General features: G+C 40.1%; 2 annotated features.

The window, feature by feature from the left end:
- Positions 4,311-4,884: an enhancer, noted in NCBI's record as "OCT4-NANOG-H3K27ac hESC enhancer chr9:41711747-41712320 (GRCh37/hg19 assembly coordinates)". NCBI's record gives its function as "activates a minimal SCP1, AML or CMV promoter by ChIP-STARR-seq in naive H9 embryonic stem cells {active_cell/tissue: H9 hESC(naive)}" and the evidence as "EXISTENCE:reporter gene assay evidence [ECO:0000049][PMID:30033119]".
- Positions 11,130-12,070: an enhancer, noted in NCBI's record as "OCT4-NANOG-H3K27ac hESC enhancer chr9:41718566-41719506 (GRCh37/hg19 assembly coordinates)". NCBI's record gives its function as "activates a minimal SCP1, AML or CMV promoter by ChIP-STARR-seq in primed H9 embryonic stem cells {active_cell/tissue: H9 hESC(primed)}" and the evidence as "EXISTENCE:reporter gene assay evidence [ECO:0000049][PMID:30033119]".

Here is a 12,673-nt window from a genome sequence, read left to right on the forward strand (position 1 = left end):
ACAGAGCAAGACTCCATCTCAAAAAAAAAAAAAACAAAACCGCAATCAGCAGCCCTTGGGGCTGCTCTTTCTATGGAATAACCATTCTTTTATTCCTTTACTTTCTTAATAAACTTACTTTCATTTTGCACTGTGAACTCACCCTGAATTCTTTCTTGCACAAGATCCAGGAACCCTCTCTTGGGGTCTGGATCTGGACCTCTTTCCTGTAACAAACTTATGATGGGTTTATTGTGACATAACCCCATTGTAAGTTGAGGAACATCTGTGTGTGTGTGTGTGTGTGTGTGTGTGTGTGTCTATGTGTAGACAGAGATAGAAAGAGATAGAGAGAGACAGTACTCTAGAGAAACCTTACTAATAATATATGTAGAACAAACAAACAAAACAAAACCATTTCTATATTATGTCACACCTAACTTGTTGCTTTCCGCTCTGGTATTATTGTTGAATAAATGAGCAAATGCCACACAGTTACAAAATGATACTTTTTCCATTTTTATAGCCAATTCAAACAGAAAAGCAATCTTATGGATACTATGGTCCACATCATAAAAGCATATTTTATTTTTGTATTTTATAGAGTAGATACTGTCAATAAACATTAATCTAAAAATTAATTTTTAGATTAATGGCGGCCATACTAGTTATAGTTTATGAATCATGTTTGGTCAACTAGTAGCAGGATATAATTTCTACTTGGCCAAGCCCAGTGGCTCACAGCTGTAATCCTTGCACATCGGGAGCTCAAGGGGAGAGGATCACTTGAGCCCAGGAGTTCAAAACCAACCTGGACAACATTTCTACAAAAAAATGTAAAAATTTGCCAGGCACAGTGGCACGCCTGTGGTCCCAATTACTAGGGTGGCTGAGGTGGGAGGATCATCTGAACCTGGGAGGTGGAGGCCGCAGTGAGGTCTGATCACACCACTACACTCCAGCCTCGGCAACAAAGTGAGACCTCACCTCTCAAAAAACAAATCATGTATATGGACTTAGTTCCTTTAACGTGAAATAATGCCCCATATGTGTACACTCCACTGATTTGTAGGAAAAAATTGATGCAAGGATGAGGGATGCATAAAGGAAGAATTTCTCCAGTATCTCTCAATCTTTTTTTCTTTTTCTTTTTCTTTTTTTTTTTTTTTTTGAGACTGAGTCTCGCTCTGTTGCCCAGTCTGGGGTGCAGTGGCACGATCTGGGTTCACTGCAACCTCCGCCTCCGGGGCTCAAGCAATTCTTCCTGCTTCAGCCTCTAGAGTAGCTGGGATTACAGGAGCCTGCCACCACACCCAGCTAAATTTGTTTGTATTTTCTAGTAGAGACTGGGTTTCACCATGTTGGCCAGGCTGGTCTTGAATTCCTGACCTCAGGTGATCCGCCTGCCTAGGCCTCCCAAAGTGCTGGGATTACAGGTGTGAGACACTGTGCCCGGTCCAGTATCTCTCAATCTTGATTTAGGGGTTAGAGACTTCTTGGCCCCGACTTTGTGACCACTTTCACTAGTTATCTCCATGCCCGCTCTGGAGAAGTGAAGCTAGGGAGGCCTTCAGCTGCTGGCTCACTAGGAAGCACTCACAGCGGGAGGGAGCCGACTCTGCCCTCCAGGTGGTTTTAGGTCCACATCTGTGGAGGGCCAGGAGCTGGTAACTATTCTGTGATGCACGTTGAATTTTCTCCACTGTAACTCATTCCTTGGACATCTTGTCAGTTCACTCACAAATGATATGTTGACAGTATTTGTGTTAGAACAGCGTGTCCTAAAGTGACATTTTACATGTAGCTGCTTTGTGCATTTATCTTTTATAATACAAAACTATTATCCTTAAAAAAAAGTCATTTAAGTACAAACTTAAAAAAGACTTTCGGAAGTAGTTACCAATTTAGGGATACACCTGGGATACGATATTATTCTTTTTAATCAAAACTTCAGCCCCATGGAAAATGTAGCAGTAGACACTTTAGATGACAGTGACACAAATCATATCCTTTTATGTTTGGGTAGGCTTTAACTTCTAAAATCATCTCTTACCTCATTCTCCTACTTTTAAGGAAAAAAGTTTCATTTTACCTTGGCATGTCATGACTGCTGACATGATTTCCAACATGCCATTAAATAGAATCATCTTGAAGAAGGAAGGAGGGGAAGGAAGTGGAGGAAGAAAACCCAGATTATCACAGGCTCTGGTAAACATTTGATAGGAATCACTATCTCCCTTGGTCCTCAAAAAACTCCACAAACCAGATATTGTGCATCTGGCAAAAGCAGAAATACAAAGCAGAAAGGTCAAGCAACTTGCCTCTGATTTCACTATTAAGGAGAGCAGAGCACAGCCTCAGGTTCAGGCCCTGGTTCTAGAGCCCCTGTTCTAACCACTGCTTGCGGCTGCCCACCCTGCAGAACATGCTGGCATACTATGCAGAGGCAAAGGCAATATTTTACTGAAATGTCAGAGGTTTATGTTATTGGCATACTACAGATGACCTTCCTTGTGGCCCCAATTTTGCTTCAAATAATAGAAAATGCACAGTAGGCTGGGGATGGTGGCTCACACCTGTAGTACCAGCACTTTGAGAGGCTGAGGTGGGAGGATCACTTGAGGCCAGGAATTTGAGACTAGCCTGGGCAACACAGAGAGACTGTCTCTACCAAACAAAGAAAGTGCACAATAGTTCCACATACACATTTTACATCTGACAGAAACTAAGAAACAAAAATCTGGAATACCTCCACCTAAGACTGTACAGCCCCTGGTTACACAGATGTGACTGAATATTTCTGTGGTACTCTCAGGTTGCTGGTTCTCATTTCCATTCTGATTTCTGCATCTTTCCACTTTCATGAATTGTATTTTACACTATGTAAGTTGCAACCATTTGGAAAAACAAACAAAAATAAGTATTTTTGCAGCTAATTAATTTATAAAGTTTTTATTTTTAATTCACCTCATTTCAATGGGGAAATAAGTATAAGATACAAAATAGAGTCATGAATAAAATAAAATAAAACGTGTATAATTGGTATTTCTACATGAACATAAATGCATGAATATGTTGTTCAATTGCTTGGTCCGAGTAATACTTTTATTTCTGAGAGTACTTGCTGTCAAAGAAAGGTTGAAACATGATCAATTACAAGACACTCAAGGTTAATAATAGAATTTAGAAAAAGCAATGGACAGGGATGCTGCATGGTAAAGTTGTAGAGATCAGATATCAGCCCCAATTTTCTTTTTTTTTATACAGTGGTGATGATGATGTTGATGTTAATAATCATCTTAACATTTACTGAGTATTAATATTACGTCTGCACTGTTGTAGCACTTTGCATGTATTAACTCATCGCCTCTTCACAGAAGCCCTAGGAGGTAATATATCAGTAATATTTGCATTTTACAGAGGCAGGAAGACAGAACTGCCAAGGTCACAAGGTATATTAGTTTGCTAGAGACATCATAACAAAGTGCCACACACTGGGTGACTTAAACAATGGGCATTTTTTGTCTGACAGTTCTGGAGGATAGAAGTCTAACACTAAGGTGCCAGCAGGGTTGGCTCCTTCTGAAGGCTATGAACAAAGCATCTATTCCAGGCCTCTTTCCTGGTTTTGTAGACACCTGTCTTCTTCTTTGATCTCTTCACATCATCTTCCCTCTACGTGTGTCTGTCTCCAAATTTCCCTTTTTACAAGGATATTAGTCAAATTGGATTAGGGTCCCTTCACAACAACCTCATTTTAACTCCCATGTAAAGACCCTATGTCCAAATAATTCCTGGGTTCTGCAGTACTCAGTGTTTAAAAATTCAACATATGGGCTGGGCATGGTGGCTCACACCTGTAATCCTAGCACTTTGGGAGGCTGAGGCAGGCGGATCACCTGAGGTCAGGAGTTTGAGACAAGCCTGACCAACATGGCAAAAACCCATCTCTACTAAAGGTACAAAAATTAGCTGGGCATGGTGGCAGGCACCTGTAATCCCAGCTACTCAGGAGGCTGAGGCAGGAGAATCACTTCAACCCAGCAGCTGGAAGTTGCAGTGAGCTGAGATAGGGCCATTGCACTCCAGTCTGGGTGACAGAGTGAGACTCTGCCTCAAAAAAACTAAATAAATAAAAATAAAATAAAAATTCAACATTTGAATTCTGAGAGATGCATGGTTCAACCTCTAACACACGGCCAGGAGATCTGCACACAGGCAGCCTGGCCCTGCACCCAGCCTCAGGGCTATTCAGAGTGTGGTCTGTGACCCGCAACCTCAAGTGCCACCCTGGGTTTCCCTTAGTTCCTTGAACACCTTTTTTTCAGTAAGTCTTTAGGAAGGTAACATAATGTAGGTAATTCATTCAAAGTAAGAATGTAGCTCCATTAATGACATGAGTGCATTCTGTCCTGGTTTTGTTGGATTATTTTATTCTTCCCCCTTATTTGTCCTCCCTGGATGTTAAGTCAGTCCTGTTGGGTGATGTAAAAAGGGCGAGTGTGATCTCAGGGCTCTTAGAGAGAGGGTCAACACCGTGACAGCATCAGTCAGGCAGTTTCTCACAGGAGCCATCGGCTTCCTGCGGCTTCCTCCGGAGCCTTCCTTCCTGCTGCTCCACAGGGGCTGCTGCATGGGAGACGCTGCCCTGCTGAGCTGTCATTTAAACTTATTCTGAAGATTAACAAGGCCCATCACTTGCAGATACTAAGCCCCTATCATGAACACAGTAAAATATTTACTTGAACAAATTAAAATATTCTATTCAATGATGATTCAGAATAAATTAAAATACTGTAGAAGTGTGTTTTATGTAAATATTTTCTCTTTTGTTCTGGATTTTAATTATCTTGAATTTTTATTTGCAGAACATTTAAGGAAGTTTCTATTTTAAACCAGCCTTGGAGGGTTTTCATGACAAGGAATTGCACATTGGATGATCATTTCTACCTTTTGCAATAACTACTTCTTATTTGCAAGTTGTGTTTAAGTGAACAAAGACAGTAAGTATTAAATAATTGAAAACTATTTTTTAGCAGATTTGTTGGATAACAACTATTTAAGGAGGTTAAACAAATGCCCTTCAGATTTTCAGTCAATATTGGCTATTACTAAGCTGACTTGCTTCTTTAATCACAGGGCTTCATTTGAAGTCCAGTAACTATGACTTTGAGAAGATCCTTGGTTTCCACAGCATGTATGATTCATACCCACAGGTTTCCCTGTGAAACCTTTTCCAATCTTTTACACTATGCTTCAGAATCCTGTACCTCCTACTTAAAATAAAGAACACTTAACTAGTAAAAATATGATACTGCAAGATGAGTGTCACTAGATGATAGCATCATGCTTCCACTGTAACCCTGTCTTCATATTTAAATGCGGATACACTGTTTACTTCTTCATAACATAAAGAGATACCAAATACTTATTCAATACCTAACAATATGCAGCATTTATATGAACTTTGGGTAATCTTTCTCAAGTGGGTCCTAGAACATACATACACACACACACACACACACACACTGAAAGTATCGATATAAAATATAGGTACAAAAATGTTTCAGCAGAGATTACAGAAGAATGTTGAAACTGCATAAGGCATGTTCAGAAATTTCAGAGCCAGTTGAGCAGCAAAAAACACAGAAATCCTGTCAGGAGATACTATTTCCAAAATCCTCAGAACAAAACAGTCAAACTACAGCGAGAAACCTTAGAGTGTGTTCTTGGGCAAAATCTAAGAATTTAGCCAAGGTCAAAACCCGAAGTGTCAGAGTTCACCAGTTCTGTCATCATAATTTTTCCAGGACTCATTTTCCTCATCTGTATGATGAGGGGGTTAGCCTGGATAAAATACAGGGCCTAACCAATGCCCTGTCTCTGTAAGGGCAGCAATATTGTGGAAGAATTTCTGCACTTTAAATATCCGTCTTGGCAGCAAATCCTCAGAGTCATGAAGTAGCACGTCGTTTATCCTCGTGTATCTGGGCACAGATGCTAGTGTTACATCCATCCCTCACTACTCATCAACATGAGTCCAAGACATCGATCAGTTCTTTATTTAGAGATAAAATGACAGGATAGATCCTCTCTGTGTGTTTATTTCACAATTCCTTCATGACTTGCATTCCCCTTTCTCATCAGAATCAGTGCCCTCCATTTCTTCTTAAAGGATGGTATTTTGACATAAATGGAAATGATTTTTGCCTTCTGTGAGACAGGGGGTTTTTTCTCCACTTTCTTATAGGTCAATTTCCAAATCATGAATGACGGACTCACTAATTATAGTACTGTCAATGTTTTCTTGACAGGGTCTTTATTTTTTTCCTCCAGGAGACTTGGGAATGAGTACATTCCTATCTAATGTGAAAATCCAAGGTTATTTTCCTTTTACATAAGATCACTTTTTCCCTTAGAAATCACATAGATGGATTATAGAAGACATTTTATAGGAAATTATAAAATCTAGGAAAAAGTTGCAATATTGCAAAATTGCTGTAATATGGCAAATGAACTGAAACATGGGGTTTCATATGACATCTAGTAAATTTTATTATTTATACTGTGAAATCCCATTAAATGATGAAATTAAAATAGTTTAACCTGCTAAATTGTGTGTTCTTTTGACCGCTCTTGACAGGGTGGACAAAGGGTCAATTAAGAATCACCCTTTTTGATGCCAGACAAGCTCCAGTGAGTCAGAGCAAACACGTTCTGAAGTGTCTTACTCAACCACATCACAGAAACTGTCTCAACATTTTGCCATTCTTAAAATTAGTCTCCCAAGTCTATTCATGATTCAAAGGTGGTGAACATCAGCTATATACTTTTCTGTTTTGCAGGTTACTTATAATTCCTTAAGCTGTTTCTTCCCTCCATCTCTAACATTCTTTCATTCTTTGAAGATAAGCTATGGACAATTAGGGAAACATAACATAATTGTCTGTGCCCTTGCTTGGGTGTTTCAAATATTAGTATTGTAAAAATCTGTGACTTAGAGGGATTATTCTCACACACACACACACACACACCTATTATCCACAGATTAACTTATTCTACTCTTAAGAAAACATTTTATAGATGTATTCTCAATACTTCCCTTTACGGAGGATGTTTTTTCTATTATTAAATTTTAACCATACATAACTGGAAATCAATTATACTGACCACCTGCCCATATGAGCTATTCAGGCATCATTTTTTTTCCCAACACGCTATGAGCTGTGATGAGAATGAGAAAAATAGCACTTGATAAGTCAACTCCACAACCCAACTCAGTATTCTACAAGGTTCTCTTTATATTTGATTCATTTGAGAGAAAAAACCCTGAGGGTGAATATAGAGTAGGTAATGTTCAAGGAAAAAAAAAGCCTATTTTAGATATTTTCCGTGTAATTCTCAGAATATGATTAAAGGAAAGATCTTTTGAATTCAGATTTCCATGGAAACACTCACAGCATTTTTCAATGGCGAGTAAGTGAGCTACATGATCTAACAAACCATTTTCTTACTGAATTTAAAATTGTGTTAGTTAGACATTATCAGTTTCCCTCCCTGTTCACCATGAGCCTGAGTTGTTTCCCTAGGCTTGGTAACATCCTCTCCCCTTTCCTTGTCCCTGGGTTGCTGTTGTAAAGTATGCCATCCCTGTGGTTGTTAATTCTAATGCAAATTTATTAGTCAGGCCATTCTCAGCTCCCTATGATGGGCGTAGAAATGGGGAAGGTACCCTTGGTAGGTAACTTATCTCATTTTGATTTCTAAATGATGTAAATGTAATAGCTTAAAAAAAAATCTCCATATAACTGTTCTCTGCACCCTCTGATTGGGTAAATACTCATGCAAATTGACCATCTTATCAAATATATTTTTATGAAAGTTAAAGAACCTGCACCACATACGTAGCAAGACAACTTCCAGTCACTTCTTACCCTCTGAGCCTTGGGCTTCTCTGCAGCTGGGCAATGCTGCACAAACAGCATAAATGCTCCAGTTGGGCATTTGGTCTTAGAGGGGTAAAAGATCTAAGAATGCTTTTGCCTGTTACACGATTGGGCAGGTTGTATTTCATTTTTAAATACAAAAGAAGTAAATAATCGATGTGCCAGAAATATATTTGAATTTTTGTCAGTTGACATTTCAGTAGCCATTATGGACCCAAAGTCATTTTGTTTAAGGAGCTGATACTGGATAATATATTTTTATTTAACAAAAGTTATGATAACATGTAGTCCACATGATCTGAACATGCGTGTCCTAAAAATATATTTGAAAATGAGAGAAATGCATATAGAGATGAGGAAAACCCTAGCTGAAAAGATAAATATATAGACGATAATTTTTTTTAATTTGGGGAGAAGATGATGAACATGAAAAGAATTATGAGTTTGAAAATCTGTCTACAGAAACATCAGGTAATTCCTTATCAGTGCACTTACAACACATTTCCTCATATGCATGCCTGACAGCTGCCACAGCAAAGCTGCCATTCGAGAATTTCTTTTAAAAGTTAATGTACACAGATATCCATGAGAGACTTAGTATTTCCAGAAGCTTTCGATTGGGGTAGAGTTGAAAGGGAGGGTAATATTTTGCAGTGCTGTGGAATAAAGCAGCATCTGTCTCAATTACATCCAGCTCTTATATGCAGAAGATTTCCCAAAGATGGCAGTTTTGATAAATATTGACCTCCAAAGCTCTATCATTTTGTCGACCTAAAAGGAAGAGGCTGAGACACAAACTCTGTAATTTAAAGAGTTTACTGAGCCAAAGTGAAGACAGTTGTCAGGAGGACTCGGACCCGTGTAACCTTGGATATGAGTTTGGCCTTTGTTACAAACAGATTTTTAAAGGCAAAAAAGAGGGAGAAGGCATGGCTGATACAAAGTTGTTTGTCAGGCATTCTTATTGATTTATAGAAATAACATTGATTAGTGATTGGCTATACATTGTTAAGCTACAGGGTGTGGGTTATAGCGTTTGCTCTGGCATTATTAGGTTAATTTATAGCTACTTGTGGCAATAAGCAGTTTCAGGAGATGAATACCTAGCTCAAAGCGGGGAGTAGGACTTGACTGCTGCCTCATTTTAATGTCTCTCTGGGCCTCATTATTTAAAAGGACTCACATTCCTCAGATAAAAGTTCTTTTCTCGCCTTTTTTTTTTTTGAGTAATACAGAATCAATCAAGCAATATTGTCTCCATTGCACGAAGTAATGTGTTATTTACACCATGGATATTCTAAAATGAAACCATGAATGTGAGTTGTTAAAAAAGCAAGTACAATAAAAAATGCATGTCCAAAAATGGATACTCCCAGGCTGAGGAGCTGAGCTGTCAGCAACGGGAATGATGACTCTTGGCCTGCGAAAGTCACTGAAAATTGAATTTGAGGGCACAGAGGAGGATGGGAGTCAGTGGCTAAAATTGTTGAGAAAGTCATTTACATTTTTCTTATTTATTATTTCTATTCTTCAGAGTCTAATATTTTCACTAATTTTAAAAAAACTTTTTCTTGGCTGGGCGCGGTGGCTCACGCCTTAATCCCAGCACTTTGGGAGGCCGAGGCGGGCGGATCACGAGGTCAGGAAATCGAGACCATCCTGGCTAACACGGTGAAACCCCGTCTCTACTGAAAATACAAAAAAATTAGCCGTGCGTGGTGGCGGGCGCCTGTAGTCCCAGCTACTCCGGAGGCTGAGGCAGGAGAATGGCGTGAACCCGGGAGGCGGAGCTTGCAGTGAGCAGAGATCGCGCCACTGCACTCCAGCCTCGGTGACAGAGCAAGACTCCGTCTCATTTAAAAAAAAAAAACAAACTTTTTCTTATAGTCCCCTAAATGTTTAACAATATTTAAACTATCTTCAATGGTTCTAAACACATTTGGTACCTTTAAAATTTTATTTCCTATTTTATAAGAAAGATGAGAGATTTGGATGTAAACACACAGTTTTGCATTTAGGTGTAATGATGTCTTGGCTCTTCAATCTGAAGAGAAAATATAATGACTAGTAATTAAGTTGGAAGTGGTATTTGAAAACCATCTATTAATTGTTTTACCTACTTTCTACTACCTAGTTTTAAGTTTCAACATAATTTTTAAAAAAATGTTTAATACTGGCCGGGTGCGATGGCTCACACCTGCAACCTCAGTACTTTGGGAGGCCAAGATGAGTGGATCACTTGAGGTCAGGAGTTGTATTCACCAACATGGTGAAACCCCATCTCTACTAAAAAAAAAAAAAAAAAAAATTAGCCAGGCATGGTGGCACACGCCTGTAATCCCAGCTACTTCGGAGGCTGAGGCAGGAGAATCGCTTGAACCCGGGAGGCAGAGGTTGCAGTGAGCCGAGATCGTACCATTGCACTCCAGCCTGGGCAACAAGAGCAAAACTCAGTCTCAAACAAAACAAAACAGAAAGTTTAATACTGATGCCTTCTTGCATATCTCACTATTCCTAGAATTGCATTTTATTTGTTGTTGTTGTTTTCCTTTCCCTGCTGGGCTGGGGTGGGTGGTGATATATGCAGTGATGTTTACAAGCAGAGAGGCTGTTGCAGCAGAGGTCTCATCTAACAGGGAGCCTTAATGAGCAGTGGCGCTTATAAATTAGGGAGATACTGAAGCACGCTCCAGATTCAGTCAGGACCTCAGGATGAGAGCTTGGGGTTGGGGAAGAAAACATAAAAGTGGCTGAGTATTTTTGAGGGGTTGATGAGTCTAAGCCCACTTCTTAAGCTTTGCTCTTTGATTTCCTGTGTACTAGGTAGGTATTTACCTTCTCCTCCTCCTTTTTAAGCTGGGGTGCCTGCGAGCCTCCATGCAGCATTCGCTGGACAGTGCTGAGGAGTCAGTTATCAGTGCCGCTGGTGGACGTGAACGTTGCTCTGAGAAGCTGTGTGGCCAAGGGTGACATTTCCTCCAGGCAGGAAAGTCCATGAGTGTTGTTTCTTTGTCTTTGAATGAACAGTCAAGCCATGCCTCCAGACATCTTTGACATAAGCACAGGCCTCCACAAGACTTTTAAAATACTCTAGGGGAGAAAAGTCCTATCTTTTCTTCACCCGCCACAAGGTTTACAGCCCAAAACCCCCATAACAAAAGACAGGTTAACAAGAGAAAAGCATAACAAAGGTATTTAATCAAAGTTTTGCTTGACACAGGAGGCTTCAGAAATGAAGACCCAAACACCCAGGGGGAAACTGTATTTTTATGTTAAATCTGATGAAAGAAGTGAATAGTTGTGGAGCAACGTAACTGGACAAAAGGGATATGATCTAATGGTAATAAACTGAGCAGAGCCCAGCAAGGCCTGTTTGTTCTGATTCTTCTTGGTCTCTCTGTGTGTAACCGCCCAATGGGTTCATCTAGCCCCCTGCCTAGACGGAGCTGATTTATCAAGACAGGGGAATTGCAACAGAGAAAGTGTAATACACACAGAACCAGCTGTGTGGGAGACTGAAGTTTTATTGTTGTTCAAATTAGTCTCCTGGAGCATTTGGGGATCAGAGTTTTTAAGGATAATTTGTGAACTGGTGGGGGGCAGTGAGTTGGGTGTGCTGATTGGTCAGGTCATAGGGAGTCAAAGCTGTCCTCTTGTGCTGAGTCAGTTCCTGAGTGGGGCCACAATATCAGATGAGCCAGTTTATCGATCGGGGTGATGGCTGCTGATCCATCAAGTGCAGCGTCTGCAAAATATCTCAAGAGCTGGTCTTAGGCTTTACAGTAGTGATGTTATCCCCTGGAGCAATCTGGAAAGAACCTCGTAGCCTCCAGCTGCATGACTCCTAAACCATAATTTCTAATCTTGTGACTAGTTTGTTAGTCCTACAAAGCCAGTCTAGTCCCTAAGCAAGAAAGGGATTTGTTTTGGGAAAGAGCTGTCATTATGTTCATTTTAATCTATAAATTATAAACTAAGTTCCTTCCAAAGTTAGTTCAGCCTACGCCAAGGAATGACGAAGGACAGCTTGGAAGTTAGAAGCAAGATGGAGTTGGTTAGGTCAGATCTCTTTCACTGCCTCAGTTATAATTTTGCAATGACGGTTTCATGTGTAGCATTCCTTTCTCCAGGTAAGGGGCAGGACTCCTCTGGAATGAGGGTCTTATGAGCTCTCAGGGGAGGTAGGTAAAAGATAACCTTTCTAGATTTTATGGCTTGTTTCAGGAGACAGAAGGATGGGAGAAGGCCAAAGAGAACTACTTGCTTCTAAAACCCTCCTGTCTCCTTTAGTGCAACAATCCACACATGCCAAGGCACCATACTTTGGGGTACTGTGCTCTGAGCTCCGATAATACAAAGAAGTAGAACCATGTCACGCTAAATGTTTAATATGCAGCTGGGGGTTTTATCTAATAAATGCAATAACAAATCATATCTCCTCATGACATTAGGGTTTTAGATAGGCACTCCATGGTCTCAAACAGATTTTAGCTTCAATCTCTACATAGCTGCTACTTATTTCTATGAAAACAATCTTTGAAAATTGTTTTCAAGAAATTACAGGGCTGGGCGTGGTGGCTTATGCCTGTAATCCCAGCATTTTGGGAGGCCAAGGCAGGAGGATCACCAGAGGTTAGGAGTTCAAGATCAGCCTGGCCAACATGGTGACATCCCGTCTCTACTAAAAACACAAAATTAGCCAGGTGGGGTGGAATGCACCTGTAGTACTAGCTACTTGGGAGACTGAG

Source organism: Homo sapiens, chromosome 9 (genome assembly GCF_000001405.40).
Source record: "Homo sapiens chromosome 9, GRCh38.p14 Primary Assembly".
Classification (NCBI taxonomy): Eukaryota; Metazoa; Chordata; class Mammalia; order Primates; family Hominidae; genus Homo; species Homo sapiens.